This window comes from Homo sapiens, chromosome 5 (assembly GCF_000001405.40).
Source record: "Homo sapiens chromosome 5, GRCh38.p14 Primary Assembly".
NCBI lineage: Eukaryota > Metazoa > Chordata > Mammalia > Primates > Hominidae > Homo > Homo sapiens.
The window spans coordinates 133,228,744-133,252,565 of record NC_000005.10 but is presented as its reverse complement, the minus strand read 5'-3'; the positions used below and the strand labels follow the sequence as shown (position 1 = coordinate 133,252,565).

The 23,822-nt window shown below is 50.8% G+C and overlaps 1 protein-coding gene across 5 annotated transcripts in view, besides 7 other annotated features; it reads left to right on the top strand.

Annotated features, from left to right (window-relative positions):
- FSTL4 (follistatin like 4) overlaps nucleotides 1-23,822 on the top strand; it is a 645,613-nt gene that overhangs the window by 589,502 nt on the left and 32,289 nt on the right. For 4 of the 5 annotated variants that reach the window (XM_011543283.2, XM_011543284.3, NM_015082.2 and 1 more), the window contains 2 exons: nucleotides 2,990-3,156; nucleotides 19,029-19,149. In XM_011543283.2, coding sequence (XP_011541585.1) covers nucleotides 2,990-3,156; nucleotides 19,029-19,149 — 288 coding nt within the window. Of the gene's footprint in view, nucleotides 1-276; nucleotides 440-2,989; nucleotides 3,157-19,028; nucleotides 19,150-23,822 lie in introns of those variants that run through there. The other variant, XM_017009251.2, reaches the window with a different exon arrangement.
- Nucleotides 5,878-7,077: an enhancer, noted in NCBI's record as "P300/CBP strongly-dependent group 1 enhancer chr5:132581181-132582380 (GRCh37/hg19 assembly coordinates)". NCBI's record gives its function as "activates an origin of replication core promoter dependent on BRD2, BRD4, P300/CBP, MED14 and CDK7 cofactors, with strong dependence on P300/CBP, by STARR-seq in HCT116 cells {active_cell/tissue: HCT116}" and the evidence as "EXISTENCE:reporter gene assay evidence [ECO:0000049][PMID:35650434]".
- Nucleotides 8,238-8,759: an enhancer, noted in NCBI's record as "H3K27ac-H3K4me1 hESC enhancer chr5:132579499-132580020 (GRCh37/hg19 assembly coordinates)". NCBI's record gives its function as "activates a minimal SCP1, AML or CMV promoter by ChIP-STARR-seq in primed H9 embryonic stem cells {active_cell/tissue: H9 hESC(primed)}" and the evidence as "EXISTENCE:reporter gene assay evidence [ECO:0000049][PMID:30033119]".
- Nucleotides 11,481-11,981: an enhancer, noted in NCBI's record as "H3K27ac hESC enhancer chr5:132576277-132576777 (GRCh37/hg19 assembly coordinates)". NCBI's record gives its function as "activates a minimal SCP1, AML or CMV promoter by ChIP-STARR-seq in naive H9 embryonic stem cells {active_cell/tissue: H9 hESC(naive)}" and the evidence as "EXISTENCE:reporter gene assay evidence [ECO:0000049][PMID:30033119]".
- Nucleotides 11,481-12,051: a biological region, named in NCBI's record as "H3K27ac hESC enhancer GRCh37_chr5:132576277-132576777".
- Nucleotides 11,772-12,051: an enhancer, noted in NCBI's record as "active region_23102". NCBI's record gives its function as "activates an Ori minimal core promoter by ATAC-STARR-seq in GM12878 lymphoblastoid cells {active_cell/tissue: GM12878}" and the evidence as "EXISTENCE:reporter gene assay evidence [ECO:0000049][PMID:35858748]".
- Nucleotides 11,982-12,482: an enhancer, noted in NCBI's record as "H3K27ac hESC enhancer chr5:132575776-132576276 (GRCh37/hg19 assembly coordinates)". NCBI's record gives its function as "activates a minimal SCP1, AML or CMV promoter by ChIP-STARR-seq in naive H9 embryonic stem cells {active_cell/tissue: H9 hESC(naive)}" and the evidence as "EXISTENCE:reporter gene assay evidence [ECO:0000049][PMID:30033119]".
- Nucleotides 16,082-16,946: an enhancer, noted in NCBI's record as "H3K4me1 hESC enhancer chr5:132571312-132572176 (GRCh37/hg19 assembly coordinates)". NCBI's record gives its function as "activates a minimal SCP1, AML or CMV promoter by ChIP-STARR-seq in naive H9 embryonic stem cells {active_cell/tissue: H9 hESC(naive)}" and the evidence as "EXISTENCE:reporter gene assay evidence [ECO:0000049][PMID:30033119]".

Sequence of the window (23,822 nt, the reverse complement as noted above, 5' to 3'; positions counted from 1 at the left end):
GTAACACAGTGGTTCTCAGGCCATCATAGAACCCCTTGGGATGCTTGTTAAAATCTGGATGTCCACCCAGCCCACTTGTTAAAATCTGGATGTCCATCCAGCCCACCAGAGCATCTGCATCAGCCTGAGGCAGAGGGGCAAGAATCTGTGTTTTAATTACCCACCCCCAGAGATATGATACAGGTGGCTGGGGAGCCGCACCTGAGAAGCGGATCTCTAGGGCCCAGGGGAAGCCCTGCTGCTGCCTCCAAGAGCCCCTCCCCGATGGCCCAATTGGTCTTTTCCTTCTAGTCTGACCACAGATCAGACGTGCAGGGAAAATCTGATTCCTTTTGTAACTAACCTGACTTTACAAGCCTCACCCCAATGGGAGAAAAGCACAACTAAATGCTCAATCCATTGTAAAGATTAGCACGAGCTGACGATTTTAACAGTCCACGTAAGTAGTGCTCTGTCTAAAAACTGCTCTGTGTCTCTAGCTTCCACCCCACGTCCCAGCTGCTCTCCCCGGCTGGCTTCTGAGTGTCCAGGGAAGCAGCGTGGTGGTGCACTGCGGCCTCACTTCCCACGGCAAGGGACTCTGAGTTGCCCTGTCTGAGGTCACTTGAAGCTGAGCTCAGCCCTGGGTGTGCTCATGATCTGGGCTCACAGTCTGGTGTACTCGCGGGTCAGGATATTCCCCCAAGCAAGGCCTCCCACAGCCACCACTGGCCTCCATGCCCCTTGAGGCCAGGAGCACTTCCCTTTGGACCTTGGTCTGGCAGCCCAAGGCAGTTCTCAGGTCCAGATATTATGTTGCTGAACACCAGGGGTTCGGTCTAGGTCTGGTTGTTCACCTCACAGAAAGTCCATCACTGAGTGGATGGAATATTGCCAGGGAAGAAAGGCTTTAATCTCAATGACATCAGCCTGGAAATGGGAGACCGGTTGCAAATCCATCTCTCTGACTAAAGTTCGGGGTTTAGATAGCAGGGAATTAGGGAGGGGTAAGACAGGAGATGGTCAATAGGCAGCAGGTGTGTCTCATTGTCCGGATGCAGTGATCTAGGAGGCCTGGTGTTTGGTTTCCTGTTAAAAGAACTCAGATGAAACAAATTTAAGTTTCTCAAGCTTCAGTTATCTGGGAAAATTGGGCCTGTTTCCATACCAGGAGCCAAGGTGGTTCTGGCTCTCTGCCCAGACACATGCGGTTGCCCCAGGTGGCAGGAGCAGCGGCACAAAGCCTCGTGGCCCAGGGGAGCCTCGTGGTCATCTGATGAGGAAAGGATGCCTCCTCTACTCTTGGGGAGAATGCTGAGGTCTGAGTCCTACAGACCCGCAGAGTACGGTGGGAGCTAAACCATTTTAGCAAATTCTCATTCTCTCTCTTTCCCCTCTCCAAAGGCCGGGTCATGCTACAGAGTTAGTGCCTTCTCTCTCCTGCCCTGGGCAATAAGCCTCATGACTCGGAGATGGGAGGGTAGTGAGCAGAACTTGATTTAAGGGGGAACTTGAAATGCATCACTTTATTGTTGGTAAAATATTATGCCAGTTGCGTCTGCATCCATCACTGGGTGCTCATCTTTCCTTGAGGGTTCCTTCACCGTTAGTCACATTTTTCCTGTGTGTGATTGTCCCCTCCCCACCGGCCTATTGGCTCTTTTACTTCTTTATTTCATTTTCTCCATTTCTCATCCATCCATCCAACAGCACTGATGAAGCACCTAGCGTAGCTTGTTCATCTTTGTGAGCCCAGGGCGGAGCCACTCAGCATCTGTGGAAGAAGGAGGGCTTTGCTGCTCAGGGTCTGACCTCAGGACCCTGTTTCAATTCAGCTGCTCTGCTGTGCCTTGCACCTGCGGCTGTTTTCGCTCCCTCTTCCCCTCTCCCACACACACGGGCAAGAGGGTGTGAGCACAGATGTGCTGCCTGCGGGGCTGCTGCTGCCTGGTCACAGCTCACAAGCGTCCCGCAGAATAGCAGAGCTCAGCTCCCAACTCTGCTTCGTTCCAGTTCAGGGGGATACATCTGTTGGGGTCCCCCAGGTCCCAATAGAGTCGTAAGCATGAATAGGGAATAGACAAAATAGTACCCACTGCACCGAGAGCCAGCCTGCTTCCCTCAGCTCATGCCACCTCTGGCTATTGCCCCAGCCTCCCTGAGTGCACAGATTTGGGGGAAGAGCAAAAGGGAGCCAGTCCCATCAGTGGGCCGCTGACTGTCCCCCAAAGCCTGATCCCATTTGGTCATTTGAGCAGCCTGAGTTTGATTAATTTTTTCATAAATCCTGAGAATTTCAAAAAGCTTGTGATTGCAGAGAACTATCTTAGATTCTTCCCATTTGCCTGAAGAATGATCAGTCCTAATGCCAGTTATCAAGTTCAAAATGGCAAGGATTAATAGTTTCTGCAGCCTGAAGTATTCTTCAAAAAATTAAAAGCTACAGTGCATTTTCATAGGACAGAAATCCAAATCCAAGTTCAGCGAATCCTTAGACAGAAACAAACCTTCAAAGATCAGCCAGTTCATTCCCCAGACTTCAGACAGCGCAACCTTTAAAACTGACCCCAGATGGATGAGAAACTTGTTAGCTCACTCAGCAGACCTTGTCTGCACTTAGCAAGGCCCAGACTCCAATAGGCCAGGGGAGCTGTGAGCAGGGCGCTGCACCCCTGCCCCCCGGTCTCTCTGTGGTGGGCCCCCTGGCCTTCGCAGCCCACATTCTTGGCTTGACACAAATCTATGGCCCAGATTGTCCTCAGCACATTACTTATGGTTTTTGACCTGTTTGGACTCACATAGCCTTTTGGGCATTTGACCTAAGTCTTGGCTCCTCGCCCAGCAAAAGTGTCTATCTCTACATTTAGTCAGCACATTGTAAACAATTTTCAGGGAGTCGTGAAGCCCTTCTGGGCCTCTTCCACCCAGGAAATTCATGGCTATTCACCTTGAGTTGAGACTCCAATCCCTGGGCCTGCACCTGACCGTGCCTCCTCCTTTCCCTCTGCAGAAGTGGTTCAGCTCAGCCTCGCCCCCGAGGACAGGGTCAGTGTGACCACAGTGACCGTGGGGCTGAGCACAGTGCTGACCTGCGCCGTCCATGGAGACCTGAGGCCACCAATCATCTGGAAGCGCAACGGGCTCACCCTGAACTTCCTGGACTTGGAAGACATCAATGTAAGTCACCTGGAATTCACTCTGAGCTCAAGCGCACCTCCCTGGGAGAGTACACTGGGTAAGATGCCACAGACAGTGGCAGGACGGGAGAGTTTTAGTTTAACATCCTGTGTTTGGTGCTTTTCTAGCCTGTTGTCAGCTTGGCAGTATCAGAAAATCCAAGTCCCACCACAGCAGAAAATAGATGAATGGTGGCCATGCTATGTCCGGCTAAGGAAGAGAAGAGAGATGCGATGGGTGGGACAGGAGGCCTCTGAACGGGGCTGCATTAGCAAAGGCCTGGAGGTGACCCTGAGAACAGACTGTGTGGGCCTGCTCACAGGGCTCAGAGAGATGGACCACAGGCCAGCAGAGAGAGCAGCAGGCTCCACAGCTGAGAGAACAGTGGGCTGGGGGACCTTAGGAGGAGGTTCTGGGCCCTAGTGCTGGGTAGGCTGTAGACAGCTGTGTGCAGGGAAGGGGTGGTCCCTGTGGAGGGCAGAGGTGAGCCACTGGGCTGGGTTGGCTGGAAGACAAATGCCAGGTGCCAGATGAGAAGGTAGAGGGAAACCAGGTCAGGCCAGAGGGGACCCACCTTGGGGACGTTCATTGCTGGGTAAGGGAATGAGGGTGTGATGAGTTAAGTGGTGCTGTGTGGAAGAAGAAAGCAACTGAGCTCATGCAGCCTAGTGTGGCCATCAGGGGGTACGTCTGTGCCCTGAGGAACCAGGCAGCCTCCGTTGGGGTCCCAGCATCACCCACGTCAGCTTTGTGACTTTGAGTAATTTCTTAACCTGCCGATCCTCAATGAATTAATCTATAAGAAAAACGTTAGCAATACTTCCCTTCTATTAGACTTAAAGAAGTGGCATAATTCAAGGATATTTATTGGTCCAGGTTTGGCACAAGAGGTGATGTGGCTTCCCAGAAGTTCATGTGAGAAGACAGAGTGATGTCACCCATGTAGTGAGCTGCCAGGACAGCTGACGGGTCTTAGGTTACAGTAACTGGAATATAATTTTCATGCAGAAGAGAGGGCAGCCTTAGCCTTGTTGGCTCAGGACAGGACAGCTGGTCCACAGTGGGATGCTTGCCCAGAAAAGAAAGACCCATGGGATGAATGGTCAGTTCCTGCTAACATCTCGAAGGTGGTGGGGTAGGGGCTGGGGCAAAGGGAGCTGACCTGGGCTGTGTGACCCCCTGAGTTGGACTAGCACAAGGTGCACCTCAAAAGGAGATCAATTTGGGCTCCTTAGATGGAACCCCATTCCAGCCATCAAACCTGCCCCACCATGGAGACAGAGCCGCCACAGGAGGCGCTGAGCTCCTTATCCCAAGGGGCATATGCAAGCTCAGGCAGGGACTGTGGTCAGCAATGCTGCTAGCCACAAGAGGGCAGCTAAACCCAGTGACCTTGGAGGTCCCTTCCAACTCTGAGACTTGTGGGGAGAGAGACCCAGCATGAAATGCTGCAGGAACCACCAAAGTTAGTCCTCTCCTACTCTCTAGGCCCCTTCAGCTACACCCTGGGGGTCATGGGGGAAGCAGATGGAAAGAGGGGGCCACTCTGGAGGTTCTACCCTGGGCAGAGCTGCCAAGGAGTGCCCTTCCCCTAGCCTTGTCACACTGGACAGGATTGTTTTCTTGTGATTTCCCACCATGGTGAACATAGCCAGTATCCTATACAATTTTGAATGTCAATGCAGCACAATCCTGGTGGGTGCTTGCTGGACAGATGCTGGATGGGCAGAACCCTTCATTTTCTGGGCCTGCGATGGCCAGGGCTTGTCTGAGAACTTAGCAAGAAAGAGCAGTGTCCTATCTGTAAAGACTGGACTGTGTTGGGGTGCATGTTTGTGAGTGTGATGTCCTCTACTGTACCTGCTCACAAGGTGCAGTGCCAGCTTTTAAACATGTTTGGCCAGGAAAGATTGATCAGTACTGGGACAGCTCCACCTGTGTCTGTGGGAGCATTTCATGTGCATTACTTGGCGCTCCACTGAAAGACATCAGAAATAAAAGCAGAGGCAAAACTCCACTTAATGTACTTGCCATCAGTTAATTAAATTACTTTGAGTGGTCTTCCTCTCCCTCAAACATGCCTCCAGCACCAACTCAATTGCATTTCTACTTTTCACAATAAGGTTAGCAATTTGGGTAATTGTGGGTGCAACCAGAGATGAATGGCCCCTCATTATCTCCCAGGAAACACTTGCTGCTCGTGGTTGAGTCAGTAGCCCGCAAATAGGCAGGGCCCAGTGCTTCTCAGAACCCCCTACACGAGGGAGCAGGGCAGCACCAGCCCCGCAGGGGTCCAAGCCCGATGTGTACAAACACACAAAACACACGCACACCTCCCCTACCTGAGGGAAGGAGGCGGCACAGCTTCCTAGGGAAGGGCATGAGCCTGGGGTCTGCCACTTACTAACTAGAACCTTGGAAAGTTACTAGTCTAGTAACCTTGACTGCTCTAAGCTCCAGTTTTCCCTTCTGTGAAATGGGGATAAATAATGGTACCAGCCTCATAGGGTTCCAGTAAGGACTAAATGACAATATGCATGTAAGGCTCTTCACGTATGGTGTTCTATAAATGCTATTATCACTGTCATCATTACTATTGTTACTATCATTAATATTATTATTGTATTATTATTCCTGCTGCTGCTAAATAATATTCTCAGCAGCTTGCAGCCTGAGTCCCCACCAAGCAGCCAGCAACAGCTGGGTGAGGCTCCCTAGTCAGGCAGATAGGACCTTGGCATGCCCCCCGCTGCTCGCAGTGGGGACGGAGGTCTCACTGTCCACGTCAGCCTTGACTCACGCAGGGAGGGAGGCACTGCTTCTCTGCCTCCAGCAAATCCAGAGCAGCTTCGGGTGAGCTGTTGGACTTCTCTGAGCCTGTGGAGAAAAAGCATGATGTGCTCCTTACATGGGCATTTTCAGGCTGAAGTGTACCAAGGACCCAGCTCAGTGCCTGGCACACAAGAGGTGCTCATAAGCAGTAGGCCCACTTGGGACGGTGTGGAAAGCAAACCTTAGAAGAAATCAGGCTGAAGGGGGCTAAAGCCAGGTCATCGGGATTCACTTGCATTTTTGAAGCAAGAATTAGGGGAGAACAGCCCAGGAGTGCAACACTGATGCAGCAAAGATTCTGGGGTTGATGAGGCTCCCAGAGTCCCTCAGCCTGAGGTGTCTCAGTGGCCACGTTCACCCCACGGCAGTGGGAGATGAAATACGATCACCGGCATTGTAATCAGTGGTGACTCCCAAACACGGCTGCACGGGGGCAAGCTGATCGGCCTTCAAAACCCAAGGCGGGGAGATCACAGAGCACGAAGGAGCGTGGGCCTCCTTTCTTTGTCGTTTGTATGAGACATCTTGATTGGCAACAAAATATTAACCACTTTTTCACTACTCTCTTAATGAGAAGCTTTCGTGAGCAACAAAATATTAATTTGTCTTATCTGTTAAGAATTCTATTAATGAATTCAGTCACAGAGCTATTACAGAATGCCATTCTAATGACACATGTAATTAAACTTTTCTGACTTGCAAACATCAAGCATGCCCTGAGCATCAGAATAATATTTGATCAGAAAGTAAATGTACCCCTCTCGCCTGGAGCCAAGTAAGAAGGAGCCAGTCAGATTTTGCAGCGAGTAATGTTGCTCTCAGAAGCACTTATGAGTCACCCAATCGTGTGTGGCCCATCCAGGTGGCGTACATGGGGAGTCATCATTTGGGTTGACTCACTTGCTAAGTGCCTGAGAGTCACAAGCTCCGTACCAGAGTAGAGAACAAAGACACTGTCCGCAGCCTCCAGGGAGGCGAAGTAACCACTAACAACTGTTCTGGGGGCAAGAGAAAGGAGCCCTTCTGACTGGGGCTTCAGGAGACAGGAATAAGCGAGTGAGAAAGAAGTGTATAGGGACAGACTGGGGCTAGAACATAAAGGTCCTTGAATATTAACATTAAGAGTCTTAGCAATTGCCCTGTGGGCAGTGGGGAAGCGCAGATGTTTGATGGGGGAGTGACAGGGTCAGATGTGTGTGCTGCAAGAGTCTGGAGCGCCTTTTCCAGCCTAAGATTAAACATGCATCCAAGAGGGAGTTCACATAACAGAGGGTCCAGAAGTGAGGGGAGCCTTGTTGATGTTTTCTGAGTCTTCCTCCTCTCTAACTTCCCCAATGGCACATCTGGAGTGCAGCAGTGCCCCAGGGTCTCCCTGGCTTCCACCCAAGGCTCCCCTGATGGGGCAGTGGTTCAGTTCATGATGTCTTCACTTTGCCTTTTTTTTTTTTTTTTTTTTAGGCAGTAGGGTCTCTCTCTGTCACCCAGACTGGAGCACAGTGGCATGATCTTGGCTCACTGCAGCCTCGACCTCCAGAGCTCAAGCGATCCTCCCATCACAGCCTCCAGAGTAGCTGGGACCACAGGCATGCACCACCATGCCTGGCTAATTTTTTTATTTTTTTGTAGAGAGGGGTGTTGCTATGTTGCCCAGGCTGGCCTCAAACTCCTGAGCTCAAGTGATCCTCCTGCCTCGACCTCCCAAAGTGCTGGGACTACAGGTGTGAGCCACCGTACCTGGCCTTTGCCTTCTTAAGGTTGTCAGGAAGTTCAGCCTGGGCCTGGACCTGGTATGTCTCCTAAGGACACCTGAGCCACTGCCTTGCAGGAGGCTTTAGCCTTACCCAGCCCAGCTTGTAAGAGGGAAAACAAATCCACCACTGAGCAGAGGCTAGAATTATGGACGAATGGTGTAAGGCCCCCAAAGACAGGTGCACCCCAGCAGATCAGCAGCCCAGGGCACATGCTGCAGCCCCTCCTGGCAGTGGGTCTCTGGATTATGACGCCGCCTTCTGTTTGTTTGATGAGAAATCAGTAGTGTCTGCTCACGTTCATGTTCCCCAGAGCTAACAAAGTGCAGCCTGTAATTTGTTTACTTCCTGGCTGACTGTGGGTTTCGTTACTGAAGCAGCTGTGTGTCTGGATGTGCTTCTGACCTGGCCCTGTGTCCCCACTCACCTCAGTCCTTGAGGAGGCACAGCCCACTGCCCCCACCTCAGAAGCTAAGCAGAGGCGTGGCCACCAGCAGCACCCTGTGCTCGGCATGACCTGGGCCTGGGCCAGGCGGCCCCCAGGAGTGTGCCTGTGCTTGTGTCTGGTAGAAGGGGAGACTTTGCCCCCAGCCCCTGCTGTGGGGCCCCCACAAGGGGCCATTCCCTGGTGAGATTCCCCTGTAGCCCCTGTCTCCTGGGGACTCAGGTCCAGGCTTTGGGGGCTGGGGTGAGACCCATCTCAGAAGCAGATCCACACATTCCCTCCCTACTCTGGCCCCCATTCTAGGTATTGGGGTTGGGAAGGATGGGGTGCTGCCTCACTTTCTGCAGAAACAGAACATGCAAACCCATTCTGGGCCTCAGCCCTCTGCTTCTCTGACCACCCAGCCTGCACAGCGGCCACTCGGAGGGTGAAGTGACTGTCCCCAAACCTAGTCGGCACATCCTGCCTCAACAATGTCACCCACCCTTCATCTCATAACTGTCTTCCTCACTGTCCTTTATGATCCTGAGGGCCAGGAGACAGGAACGGGCAGAAACAGGGACAGGGCATCTCAAAAGTCACAGGTAATGGCTGTTGGGTTGAACCATCACAAGTGTTGTTGCCAGTGTTGTTACCATTCATACACGGTGCAGGCTCCGTGCCGGTTGTGAGGTCATAAGCATCAGCTCATCCCATACCCCTGCCCCATGAGGCACGTGGGGTTAACTCATTCAGATGAGTGGAGAACTTGCCCATGGGCCTACAGCCACCTACATGCCCTGGCCCAGAGCTCTCTGGGTTTCTTGCTTGTGGGACATAATATCTAGCCCCCAGCAATTCCAAATCTTTGCTGTGGGGCTGTCTGTAGTTCCCAGGCCCCAGTGGAATGTATCAAATTGGATATGGGTCCCTGTGTGTGGAGCTCCTATTCTTACTGGCTGCTGGCCTCTGGCCCCAGCAAGGAAGGAAGCAACATGCTCTGAGACCAGCACGTGGAATTGTTTAGCCAGGATATTCTCAGGGAGAGAAAACATTTTTCTATTGTATTCTTTTTTAAAAAAACAGAAAAAACAAAAAGGCCTACAACAAACTCAGTATATTTCAAATGACTTGAAAGAGCCACTCTTTTTTGTTTTGGGTTTTTTTTTCACTGAATCTCGCTATTTGGGGCTTTCTAATGTCGGCAGGCAGAGTACGGTGATAAAAGCAAAAAACAAAACCCATTAGAAGAAAGTATTTGTGGCAGTGTTTGAAGGATGTGTTAAAATGTTCACTTTTCTCCCCATACCTAAATGGTATAAAACCAGGAACAAATAATTCTAATGAAGCGTATGCTCTCAGCTAGCTCTTCTTTGGAAGGGAGTTATTAAAAAGACCAAAAGAAAATGATTTAGGAGCTCATGACTCATTTAATTTTTATTGTCTTTATATGAACCAGTCATGAATTCATTGTAAAAAGATGAGAGGCGTTTGATTAGCATGGAGAGCTGTTTGCACCACGATAGACAGTGGTTGTAGGCTCTGCATTAAAATAATCTCATTAAATGCTTGGGTACATTTTGTTTTAAAATCTTAGAAAACACTACATTTGAAGCACTTAAAGGCTTTGGCCAATTCTCTGTAGCTTGTGTCAAAAACATCTGAACATCCAGTTCTTTAGAGTTTTGAATGTGCTCAAACCATTGGGAGTAGTGTCCAGAGATCTCCAAGATATGGGGGCCGGGGCCTATGGTACTCCAGCCTGTGGAACCTGTGGGGTGACTCTGCCCTGCCAAGTGTCTCCTCTGGCCTTTGCTTTCTCAGTGCCTCTTTCGAGGTCCTCTTTCCCCTCTTAGGGGAAAGCCTTAGGGGAAGCCCTGGCCTCAGGGCTTGACTTGTACTCAGTGACCACTTCCGGCCCCATCTCCAAGGTACAGGGTCCCACAGGAAGGTTCTGATTCAGCTTCTATACCCTGATTGCAGAACCCAGGAACTCCCCACAGAGTCTCTTCCTCCCTGAGCCTCACTGCCTCCCTACAGAGGCCCAGTCAATGAAGGAGGCCGATTGGTGCCTCTCTTGGCCACTACAGATTGGAGCCTACCCCTCCAAGGCACTCTCTGCACTAAGCAAGGACAAGGGAGTCACCAGGAGGTCCTGCAGCCCATGAGCCATGCCCAAGCACTGCTCTTCCTGGACTCCCCCTCCCCAGCCCCATGCAGCTGTTTCAGGTTTTGTCTACAGCAAACAAGACTGCAGTAAACATCCTTATACCCACCTCTTTGCACATGTGTGTAAGTTGACGTGTAAGATAAGTTCTCGGAAGTGATGCATTTTCAGTTTTGATGGGTTTTGCCAAATCTCTCTCCAAAATGGCTGCACCAGTCTACGCCCTCTCCAACAATGTGTAAGAGTTTTGAACACAGTGTCAGGAGGAAATTCCTAACTGAAAGTCGTCTTGGTCCCTGAAATGAGCCATAGAAGGAAATTTATTTAAATCCTCTCTGGAGTGTCTCAACGACAGGAATCAGCTGTCATGGCTGTGAGTGTGGTCCAAGTTAGAGTCAGGAGCTGAAACCCTTGGTAAGGCCTTCTCAGCCTGGGGATTCAGGATCCAAGGATCCCCAGGAAGAGGGTTGCAGGTTTCCCAAAGGAAAGCAGCAGGTGTGAGGTGGTCTGGAACTTCAGATGACTGCTACAGTGCAGTCTAGAACCTGAGTCCCTTCCCGCCCCAGCTGGGGATGCCAAGCTAATTAGCCAAGGAGCCAAAGCCCCATTCAAGGGCTCAGGCCTGCACCTCACCAGAGGGCCCCATTAGCTGCCACCCCTACTACATAACACTCTGGAGTCCTGGCATGTCAAGAGGTATTTGCCTGCTGGCCTCTAAGGGTGGACAAGTGGAGGGCTCAGAGCAATGTCTCTGGCATGAGCCTTCTGTTGCAGGTGCCTGGGCCTCTGTGTATACCCAGATAATCAGGTTTGTCCCTATACGCAATTTCAACACGCATACCACTAGGTCAGAACTTCCCTATTTGAGTTTTTGAGCCAACTGAAGTTGGCTCTTCGACAGAAGACACCCTCACTTCTGACATAAACTGGAAGTCAGGTGGTTCCCAAAACCACCCTCAGGTTCAACAATTTGCTGGAAAAACAGAACTCATTGTAAGTGTTATACTCACAGTTAAAGTTTAATACAGCAAAAAGAGTACAGATTAAAGTCAGCCAAGTGATGAAGCCCAAAGGGCAGAGCCCAGGAGGGCTCTAAACGTGGAATCTCTGTTCTCCTCTCCCAGTGGAGTCACAGACATGTCACTGTCACAGTGTCAATTTCCCAGAGAAGCTCACCCAGGCCTCGGTGTCCAAAGCTTTTGCTGGAGCTCATTCAAATACTGCCCACATGGCTGCCCTCTCGTCCCCAGCCCCTCTAGAGACAGAACTGGTACCACCTGGCCCAAAGACCCCAGGCAAATAAAGAGACCCCTATGAGGCATGACATTCCAGAGCCTAGAGATTGCCTCCCTGTAGCCAAAGAGGGCAAGGCCAGACCTCCCTGGGTAATATGAATTCTTAACTATCCTTCCTCTCAGGGCTTCCCAGGAGGTAGCATCCTAGGCTAACACACTCCCTGAAATCAGCAAATATTCATTGAGCTCAGTTATGCACAGGAACCACATGACACGCTGAGAATAATACAGTCATGCACAAAGAGATGAGTCATGCGCGAAGAGATGAGTCATGCGCTAAGAGATAAGGGCCTCCCCTTTGGCATCCACAGTCAGAAGAAGACTGACCGCACACACCAGAGGACACCCAAGTCAGCCAGGGACCACACATGCCCCGAGCCTTGGAAGAACCAGGTGCTCTCCCCACAGTGGCTTCTCTCATGCCTCCAACTCCCTCTTCCAGGCCTGAACCTGGGAACGAGCAGGAGGACAGGCCCACTCCAGGTTGCTCACACTGAATGCAGCTGCCCACAACAGCCCTCTTCCAGGGGGCTCAGACAGCTACTTAGAGATTGCTCCAAGTTGCAGAGACTTCTTTTTCTTGAGAGGACTCTGAGAAAAAGGATGGTTCCTCAGGTCTTTGCAGGATGGCAAGTCCGTCTATTATGTCCGGAATTGGTGGGTTCTTGGTCTCACTGACTTCAAGAATGAAGCCGCGGACCCTCGCAGTGAGTGTCACAGTTCTTAAAGGCAGCGTGTCCAGAGTTTGTTCCTTCTGATGCTCGGATGCGTTTGGAGTTTCTTCCTTCTGGTGGGTTCGTGGTCTCGCTGGCTTCAGAAGTGCAGCTGCAGACCTTCAGGGTGAGTGTTGCAGCTGATAAAGTCAGTGTAAACCTAAAGAGTGAGCAGCAGCATTTATTGCAAAGAGCAAAAGAACAAAGCTTCCACTGCGTGGAAAGGAATCCCAGCGTGTTGCCACTTCTGACTCCGGAGGTCTGCTTTTATTCTCTTATCTGGCCCCACCCACATCCTGCTGATTGGTCCATTTTACAGAGAGCCGATTGGTCTGTTTTACAGAGAGCTGATTGGTCCGTTTTGACAGGGTGCTGATTGGTGCGTTTATAATCCCTGAGCTAGACACAAAAGTTCTCCACGGTCCCCACTAGATTAGCTAGATACAGAGTGTCCACACAAAGTTTCTCCAAGTCCCCACCAGAGTATCTAGATACAGAGTGCCGATTGGTGCATTCACAAACCCTGAGCTAGACACAGGGTGCTGATTGGTGGGTTTACAAACCTTGAGCTAGATACAGAGTGCTGATTGGTGTATTTACAATCCCTTAGCTAGACATAAAGGTTCTCCAAGTCCCCACCAGAATAACTAGATACAGAGTGCCGAATGGTGCATTCACAAACCATGAGCTAGACACAGGGTGCTGATTCGTGTGTTGACAAACCTTGAGCTAGAGACAGAGTGCTGATTGGTGTATTTACAATCCCTTAGCTAGACATAAAGGTTCTCCAAGTCCCCACCAGACTCAGGAGCCCAGCTGGCTTCACCCAGTGGATCCTGCACCAGGTCTGCAGGTGGAGCTGCCTGCCAGTCCCGTGCCGTGCGCCCGCACTCCTCAGCCCTTGGGTGGTTGATGGGACTGGGCGCCCTGGAGCAGGGAGCAGTGCTCTTCTGGGAGGCTCAGGCTGCGCAGGAGCCCACGTTGGCAGGGAGGGGGGTGGGGGTGGGGGAGGCTCAGGCATGGCGGGCTGCAGATCCTGAGCCTTGCCCCGCAGGGAGGCAGCTAAGGCCCGGCAAGAAATCCAGCGCAGCAGCTGCTGGCCCAGGTGCTAAGCCCCTCACTGCCCGGGGCTTGCCGGCTGGCAGCCACTCCGAGTGCGGGGCCCGCCGAGCCCATGCCCACCCGAAACTCACGCTGGCCCACAAGCCCCTCGCACAGCCCCGGTTCCCGCCCGCGCCTCTCCACACCTCCCGGCAAGCTGAGGGAGCCAGTTCCCGCCTTGGCCAGCCCAGAAAGGGGCTCCCACAGTGCAGCGGCAGGCTGAAGGGCTCCTCAAGCATGGCCAGAGTGGGAACCAAGGCCGAGGAGGCTCCGAGAGCGAGCAAGGGCTGCGAGGGCTGCCAGCATGCTGTCATCTCTCACTATGAGGGACTAGAATGAAGTGAATGTCGCCGTAACCTCAGTGTTGGTCGGGAAGGTCAGCACTAGGGAGCCAGTATGTTGGTACGTGTGTGCACTCATGCGTGTACATCATCATGTGTACCACGTGTCCATGTAGATGTTTGGGTGCGCTCCCTCCCCCATGTGTGCACACTCGCATGTACTGCATGTGTCCATGTGGATGCCTGTGTGTGCTCACCCACATGTGCACACTCGCATGTACTGCATGTGTCCATGTGGATGCCTGTGTGTGCTCACCCACATGTGCATGTGGTCCTGGCTTGGTCTGGATAAGGGCCAGGGAAGTCTAGACGTGTTCGAGGAATGGCCATCACCGAGGCACCACATGTCACTCTGTGTTTAAGTTTGCTGCATTTGACTGTGCAGGTGAGATGCTACAGTTAGTGGCATTCTGGGGGCCAGAATTGAAGGATTGTTGGGGGAGAGACCCCCCCTTTGCTCCCTCCTCCCACAAAGAGAACCAGGGGTGCTCCTGAGGAGGGCAATGTCGGAAAAGCTCTGAATAATTGTTTCTCAACTGAGTCTGAACTTGTAACATTGACAGTATCATTAACCTAAACTCTAATATTACTCTGGAGTCCTTGCGTTGAACATTTAGTCTCTAAATATTCAGTATTGATGACTCATTTCCATATATACCTGACTCCCATGGATCACTATGACAACATCCCCCATCTCATCTCTGCTTAACTATTGTTTAATACTTAAGTCTCATTTAATTGTGTTCTTTATTAAGGGCAGATACTTAGAAAATCGCTTTTTAAAAGGTGAGAACCATGTCTTTAAAATTGTCTCTTTCCCAGAAAACAGATATGCATCAATACAAAGAATGGTCTAATCTGACATCTGTTTATTTCTGTAAGGAACCTTGATTTTGCTAATACAGTTCTATGCATCAGAGCAAAAAAAAAAAAAAGCCATCCATAAAGAGACAAGTACAGAGATGCAATCAAGCGTTGATAGCAGTATTCAGATGCATCTCAAAGAACATTCAGGAGAGGAAGGATTGCAGGCTTAGTTTTATGTAGCTTCTTATAAATCAATTGTTAAAGTAATTTTCTCTTCTCACATCCAATGAGGTAAATTTGATTTCTGTAGCCAGTATTCATATCCAGAAAACAATATGCGCTTTGTTCTGTAATTATATGATGCCTATCATTTTCACCCAGAGACGTTATTTTACTTATTACAGAGTCAGCTTCTCCTCCGAGCTGAAGCCACAGACAGGTAATGCTTAGGTTCTCACGGAAGAGCCATAACACACCCAGGAGCCCCTCAAGTCCTCCAAGGGCTGACACACACACCCCTCAGCACCTGAGTGATTGCCCAAGAGTTAAGTCTCTGCTCCTGGGGAGCAGGGATGTGTACTTGGTAAGCAGGAAAGAAACAGACAGTGAGGTTAAATGACTGTGTTGGAGGCACAGCACAAGTCATCAGTAGCGGGTGGGAATCCATGCGCGATGGGCTTTTCCATCTCTTCCTGCTGCTCTGAGCTTTGGTCAATTCCAGCGTGCCCCAGCCTGAGGAGTGCAAAAGAGCCTCGAGTTCTCCCGAGGGCTGCAGGACGGAGAAGGGGACAAGTGGGGAAGTGGGGACGAGACTTGAGACCAGTGCTCTGCTCCTCCCGCCAGCTGCCTCATTTTGAGCCTGTGTGGCTGGGTAATATTTGAGTGGACAGGAAGGCAGGTGGGCACCTCGGCTGTCAAACTGAAAGAATCCCCTCAGAAAGCCTAGCTCGGTGCCCTGTACAGTCCCCTCGACAGCTATTTTTTGAGGGCCCACTGTGCACCAGGACTGTGACAGGCACACAGGGCACAAGCCTCCCTGCCCTCCTCTGCAGAGCTCACATTCTGCAGGGGAAGACAGACAGCAAACAAGGTAAGTACAGAAAGCAGCAGGCGGCACAGCAGTGCGTCCACAGGAGGCGCCAAGCAGGGTGTGGGGAAGAGGTTAGGCTCCAGAAATGGGGCTGCCAGACAAGGTTGGAGCAGACTTGCAGGAGAGGGAGACAGACAGACAGCCTGGGAGGAGGGGAGCATGCCTGGCACACTAGAGCAACAGCAAGGGGAGTGTGCGAGGCAGTAGGGTCTGAGAGGGGCTGGCCCCCAGCAAACAAGGCTCTGAGTATGAGGGGCGTGATGTGGCTGGCTCAGGGCAGAGTCTGTGGGCCGGAAGCCGGGGTCCCTGGCATCACCCAGGAAGGTGGCAGCTGGCCAGAGCAGGAGCGATGGAGGTGGTGAGAGAAGACCCCACTCTGAATGAATCTGCAAGGAGAGCCTAGTGTCTCAGCCCCTGGGGAACTGGGCTTTTGTTTTGTTTTCTGGATTGGGGTTTTCAGGGTTTTTTTTTTCCTGAGGATTAAATACATACAAGGTGACGTGTAAGTTCCCGGCACACGGTAACCTCTTGAAGACCGTATGTTGGTATTAATGGGTATCAACCTGAGGTTGATATCTGGGAACAGTGGCCTTGGGACAGCCCTCAGAGCCCAGGGCCCATCTCAACCTGAGGAATGTGGTGGTGCTGATGACTAAACACCACCACACAGGTGGTGATGAGGGCAGGGCCTGCCAGAGCCTGAGGCCAGCTTCAAGGGCCATCATGAGAAGGGGCTGTGGATGTGAAGGCTCAGGAAGGCAGTTTGGAGGGAAAATGCCAGCAGGTCCACAGCGCCAGGCTCCCTGCAAGCAGCTCTGGTTTTTGCCCTCTCGGATGGTGTCTGCCCTGGGACCCACCAACTGGGACGCTGAGGAGTTTCCAAGCCCTGCCACCCTTTTCCCTTTGAAATGGCTGTACCATTTCAGGATGCCATCTCACCACTGAGACTCCAAGCTAAACAGATTTTCCTCCAGACTTAAGTTTTGACACAGGAAACAGCTTAGACTAGAAATATGTCGGTCCCAGAATTGACTAGTCATTAACTTTTCATAAACAACTTAGATATGAACCTTTTATGACTCTTATGATACAGGACAAATCAGCTATCTGGTGTTTTATTTTATCATGGAGGCTTCCGCAGAATGGTAGAAAAGGGCTCTTTGAAGCAGAGCAGTGTTTCACAACAAACTCTCAGGGTTTCCGCAGCCCTCTGCAACATTTTACTTCTTTGAGAGCACTGCTAGGAGTTTTTATCCTGACCCTCCCTGCAAGCAGGCTGCATGTGCTCACCATCTACCTTCCTGCCTTTGCCCTACCCCAAGCTTCACTCTGGGCCGGCACCCCTTCATCCAGCTAATTAGCCAGAAAGTGTCTTTTTTTTTTTTTTTTTTTGGAGGTGGGGTCTCGCTCTGTCACCCAGGCTGGAGTGCAGTGGCACAATCTCAGCTCACTACAACCTCCGCCTCCCAGGTTCAAGCAATTCTCCTACCTCAGCCTCCTGAGTAGCTGGGACTACAGGCGCCCGCCTCCACGCCCAGCTAATTTTTTTGTTTGTTTGTTTGTTTTGTATTTTTAGTAGAGACAGGGTTTCACCATGTTGGCCAGGCTGGTCTCAAACTCCTGACCTCAAGTGATCCACCTGCCTCGGCCTCCCAAAGTGTTGGGATTACAGGCATGAGCTACCATGCCCGGCTCAGAAAGTGTCTTTAAGGGGTTTCGGGACCATTGTGGCCGGGCCCTCTGGAGTGTTAGCAAGAGAGAACATCAGCATTTCAGGAACAGGAGCTCACATGAGTATCAGCGGAGGACCCAGGGAGCTGCCCTCAGCTGCTTTTAGCCCTCATGCCACCACGGCCTTCTCTCCTGCCACCAGAATGCTTCTGTGGGAAAAGGGAGCTCAGAAAGGGCCAGGGAAAGGCAGGAGGGATGATTTGGTGTTTTCTCCAGGGGTCAAGAGGAGTTTTGCATCTTCTGCTAATAATAACAAGAAAAATAACATCCCCTGTGTATATCATGCATCCCACATTCAAAAATACACTCACATGCATTTTCTCACCGGATCTCCCAACACCACATAAGGCAGGCAGGCCGTATATATTGTCCACAATTTACAGGTGGAGAAGCCAGTGCCCAGAGAGACTGGGTACATTGGTCAATGGCAGAGCTCAAGCTAAATCCTGGATGTCCTGAGTTCCCATCACTCCCCACAGATGACAGTGCACAACCCCCTTGCTCATTAGTGAGCCTGGGCCTTCTCTGTACCATCAGCTCTGAGCACCATATCCTGGGAAATGTTTGGTAGCCAAGGCCCAACCTGATGAGGGCTCTCTGTAGAAAACGGGTAATTCCAATTCCTGGCATGTCTGTAGTTGGTGCCTGGAAGGGCCAGCATTGGGCACAGGTCTGCAAAAGGGAATGCAGCTGACTGGGCAAGTGCTTGGTGCCCAGTGCTCATCAGGGGACTCTGATGCAGCCAAAAGCCCCTCCTGCCCATCCCTCCTCTGTGCACTGGCCCAGTAAGACCCCATCGTGTGAGGCTGCAGAGATGACAGTGCTGAGGCTTATTGAGCCATTTCCTGTGGAACCCATGGGCATCCGCCCTTCCTAGTGCTCTTTGATGTTCCTGCCCTGGTTTTTTTGTTTGCCCCATTTTCCCTTTAGTTCTATTTCCCTTCCCTTGGGTTACCAAGATCTCTGCAAGCAGCCTGAAATCATGCTGGGATTGAGGTGGGATCTAAACCATAGGCAGGCCAACTGCAGCCCATGGGCCAAATCCAGGCCACCAACTTTAAATAAAACTTCAGTGGAACACAGCCACGTTCATTAATTTATGTGTCTTGAAGGCTATTTTCATGCTGTAGTGGCGGAGTTGGGTATTTGGCAGAAACTGTGCTACCCATGAAGCCAAAAATATCTGCTCGCTAGCCCCTTAAGAAAGTCAGCTAACCCCCGCTCTAAACAAGGCCTGGCCTCCGGAAACAGAGCTGCTCATCAGGTGAGCAACACCCCTGAGAATCAAGCAGGCAGCCGGTAAATGGGGGGACACGTGGGCCTAGTTGCTTGAAATTGAGAGGGCGTGTGCTGGGGGATGTGTTCAAACCGGGCCTCGTGGAGGAGGGGCCAGGTACACAAGGCCTTAAACAGATGCAGAGGTCTGGGCCCACAATGTGGAGGCAAGATGGGGTTGCTGCTGCCCAGGACGGCTCACCCCTGCAGACAGCTCTGGCTGAGCAAGGGCCAGGCAGAAAGGAACTCTCTCCCAGCTGCAGGATTTCTGGAAAACCAGGAGACAGCTATGGTTTCCAGCCCGTTCAATAAAGAGGCCAGTCTCATCGTCATCTTTGCCCTGTGCAGGACTTTGGAGAGGATGATTCCCTGTACATCACCAAGGTGACCACCATCCACATGGGCAATTACACCTGCCATGCTTCCGGCCACGAGCAGCTGTTCCAGACCCACGTCCTGCAGGTGAATGGTTAGTAAATGGCTCCATGCATGTTGTCCCCTCATAGCCTCCCCAAACTGCTGCTCAGATCAACCCTCGCCCCCTCCTGTATTCTGTCTTCTTAAAGAAATATCTAACCCCAAAATATATCATCTCTCTTATAAGTAAAGGGGAACCGTGTGGAAAGGGCAAAGTCTGTTGACCAATTTTCATATTTGGCTCCACCCAAAGCCTCCACAGGTGAAACAAATCCAAGTGCCATGGCGTGAGCCATTCAGGCCAGTCACGCTCAGCAGCTGGGGCTGCCACAGACAGTGTGGAGCATGGAGCATGCCCCTTAGGCAACACAGTGCTGGTGAGCCGCTGTGGCCTCTGGGTCTAGTGCGAGCAGAAACTGAAATCCACCACTCCTTCCAGGTGGTATGGAACCATATCACTTGTTCAATTAGGAGGCTCTATTTCCTCCGACAAGGGCTTGTGTCCGTCTCCCTCCCCAGGAGGCCCAATGAGCCTCATCTTAGCCAAGCCAGGACAGAAACTGAGGCTTGGAAGCTTTTCCTTGATTCTCACAGGCCCTGTGTTGCCAGGAGTCCCAGAAACTGAAGAATTCACTGCCTCCTGATGACAGTAGCCAGGGTTTTCCCAGCACTTGCCTTGGTCAGTCCCTGTACTCAGCCCTTCACATGGACCTTCCCATCCACGTATCTTAATCCAGTTCATGGATGATTTGCTAAAAAAGGTCACTTGCCTGGGGTCACACAACTGCTGGGTGTTGCTCTGGATCCAGACCCCATACTCTGACCTCTAGGTCACACTGCTGGCTGCCTCAACCTCGTCTGATGAAATAGAATATGTATATAATGCTTGGGAAATGCCTGGCAGAGGATGTAGTTCACAGTCCAAGGTAGGGTAGATACGGGGGTGATTGTTGGTGTAACTCAAGCCAAATTTAGCTATATTTGGTGGACACAGATGGTCAGAGCTGGTGGCCCCTCAGAGAGCCTCCTTCCCATTATACAGTTTGGAAAATCAAGACCCAGAGAAAACGTTCAAGCCAAGAATAGAATATAGGCTGCTTCTCCCTGGAGCTGCCACACTGCCAGCAGTGGGGTCAAGATTCCATGCACAGGCGGGGCCACCACCTTCTGGGACTTCCCCTTCCATGACTCTGCCCTGATTTGGTTGACTAAAGAAACCATTCCAGCAACTACTTCCTCTCTCAAATTATTAGTATAACTTGCCCATAGCCCAGACCTCCCAGAGATGCGGCCCGAGCACTGACGTGATTTATAACTTTGGGTAAACCTCTTGCATTGCTTTCATAGGAAGGAAAAAGAAATCAGACATAAATGATTAATCCATTAAATTAAAAACACCCTTGACCTCCCCACAGTTCAGACAAGTAGCGATTCATTCCCAAAAACACAATAATAACCTCCTGAATCTGTTTATTACTCCCGCATGCTACTTTCGTGACTGTGCCTCTTAAGGATCTATTTACGCTGCCTTTCACATTGGGAATGGTCGGTGTTTCCCAAAGACAGCGGGCCTTTGTGTTATGGATGCAAATATTTTCACTTGAAGATTTTCAAATTTAAGAGAAAATGAGGCCGGTGTGCTGGCTCACGCCTATAATCACAGCACTTTGGGAGGTTGAGGCTGGATCGCTTGAGTCCAGGAGTTCGAACCCAGCCTGGCCAACATGGTGAAACCCTGTCTCTACAAAAAATGCAAAAATTAGCCATGTGTGGTGGCACGTGCCTGTAATCCCAGCTACTTGGGAGGCTGAGGCATGAGAATTGCTTGAACCGGAGAGGTGAAGTTTGCAATGAGCTGAGATAGCACTGCTGCACTCCAACCTGGGCGACAGAGGGAGACTCTATCTCAAAGAAAAAAGAAAATGAATGTGTGTGCCTAGGATATATTAATTTCACATTATTTTTAATGTGTGGATTAACACAAAAGCAAAAGAGGATATCAGGGCCAAAGGAAAGAGTTGGGTCTCTGCCACATTGCTGGCAGAGAGCTTGGTCTCCACCTTTCCTGGCAGGGCCCCAGGAACTTCACACACCCACGTAGACCCTCCCTGTCCACACTGCTCCATCCTCCTGGTGGGAGGCTGGATCCAGAGCTCTGGCACGGGTAGGAGCTGCCCAGAGCTGGCTCTAACTTTGAGTATGGACAACACTTCAGGGTGTTTTCAAGGAGAAAAATGGGGCATAGTTGAGAGAGAAACTGGGATAAAGAGAAGGGTTTTTTTTTTTTTCCAAGGTAGGAGAAATAAAAGCATTCTGTGGGCTAACAGGAAAAATCCAGTAGAAAAGGGGACCAGGATGCAGGAGTGAGAGGCGTGGGAGCTATGTCCGAGCTGGGGTGGTGTCTAGGTAGGAGGTGGGTGTGACACGAGAATGATCTAGAAGTGGCAACGTGGGCCCAGGAGGACGCCTACCCCACCTCCCACCCTAGTGGTACCAAGAGAAGGGGCCGCCCCTGAAGCCACTGCAGGAGAAGCTGCGTCCTCAGGAGGAAGCCAGGTTTCCACTAGAGCAAGAAGGTGAAGGAGTGCTCATAGAAGAGTCTGAGGATGTGGGAGATGTTGCTAATGACAGAACATGAGTTCCAGAAGGCACGACAGAAGGTTCTGGGGAGGAGGGATGCCCCAGAGGCCTAGGCTTCTAGTGGAGATTGGCATGATCTGGGATAAGGCGCAGGAGGAGAAGAGGCCTAGTGATCCCCAGTAGAGAGTTGGGGCAAAACTGGGGAGACGCAGGGGCACCGGAGGTGGAGCAGGCAGATCTGAGGCCCCCTCTTTAGTCCTGCTGAAGGGCTGGAGGCCAGTGAGGAGTCATCTTACCCGCTTTGGCTCAAAAAAACCTCAAGACCAGCAGAGGGTGCATCTCACTCTAAGCACATGTGAGCCATCTTTTTGCCCCTGCTAATGGAGACCCAGGTGTCTTGCATTTAGTCATGTATTTTTAAGGGAATGATTCATTCCACACCCTTGACTTGCAGGCAGGTTTCATTTTGTTCTAGAACACTGGCATGCACTTCGGTTCAAAATTAGCCCTGAATTGGTCTGGGAGAGCTTCCAAGTCACCACTGACTCAGGGTCTCCCTTGGAACCTGTTAGGTAAATGCACATCCTCCAGCCCCATCTCAGATCTTAGGAATCAGACGCTGGGGGTGAGCCCAGCATCGTGCTTTACCAGGCTCCCCCGACCTGCCCCTATGCGATTCATGTGGGTCTGCAGGATTCCTATCAGAGGCCAGGGCTGAGGCACAGGCCAGTGTCCAGCCCTGGTGCTGGCCACCTCACTGAGGGGCCGGTGTACCACCCACCATACAGAGGCAAGCTCATTCCTTGAGTTTCCAGTTCACTGGACAAGCCCACCGCCAGTAAAAGGACAGGCACCATAGACATCAGGAAGCACTTCCTGGGTGAAGTGAGAGGGTGGAGTCTGTTCCCTATTCTGACAATTTTCTGGGACCACTGTCCCTGTGCTCCCAAAGCTCCCTCTGGAAGTGACTGTCTCACTCATGGTTCATTCTTGAATCACTTCCCCCAGACAGAAAGCTCCATGAGGGTAGGGCCTGAGGCTATCTCCCCACTTCTATGTGTGACATTGCCTGACACTTGGCTGGCATTTAGTAAACTTTGGCTGCACAGTATTGAATTGACAGCTTTGTAAAATGCATCAAGATCATTAAGGCGGTGCCACACTCAGAACGCCCTCAGCTCTTCCTCAGTCCTCTCTCCCTGCACCCCACTTTGCAACATTTGGTATTATCTAACTTTGTAATATCTGATATAGCAAAATGACAATCACTCCCTTTTTTCAAAATTTCCTCAGCTGTTCTTGGATATTTTTTCTTCTAAATTCAGAATTGTTTTGTCAAGCCCTGACCAACTGATTTTTTTTTTTTAAGACAAGGTCTCCCTCAGTTGCCCAGGTTGGAGTGCAATAGCATGATCTAGGCTCACTGCAGCCTCAACTTTCCAGGCTCAAGCAATCCTCCCATCTCAGCCTCCCAAGTAGCTGGGATTACAGGCGCATGCCACCATATCTGGCTAATTTTTTGTATTTTTGGTAGAATCAGGGTTTCACAACGTTGCCCAGGCTGGTCTCAAACTCCTGGACTCGAGCGATCCGCCCACCTCAGCCTCCCAAAGTGCTGGGATTACAGACATGAGCCACGGTGCCTGGCACCTACCAACTGATTTTTTAATTGGAGTTAGATTAAACATATGGCTTAATTTTGAATTTGTTTCCTAACGATATTAAGTCTTTCTATCCAAGAGCATCTCTCTCCAATTATCCAAGCCTTTTTTAATGTCATCAGTGAGGTTATATTGTTTTCTTCATTGAGTTCCATTATATTTTCTGTCTGGCCATTGCTGGTGTATAAGCAAGCTGTTAATTTTGTATATTTTAGTACTGGCCTCGTTACGTACCAATTAATCCTTATAACTTTATTGGTGCATTACCTGGATATAACTACATATGATTTTTCTCCATCTTTGTACTATTTGTGCCTCTCATTTCTTGCCTTCCATTGACAACATCCAGTGTGACATTGGGAGTCTGGTATTGCCTCTCTTCCTTTGTCCTTTTTCTTTTTTCCCAAATTAATGTTTCACCATTTGAAAAAGAATGGTGTCGTTTCTTCTTTTTATAGAGATATTCTGCATTGCACGAAGAAAA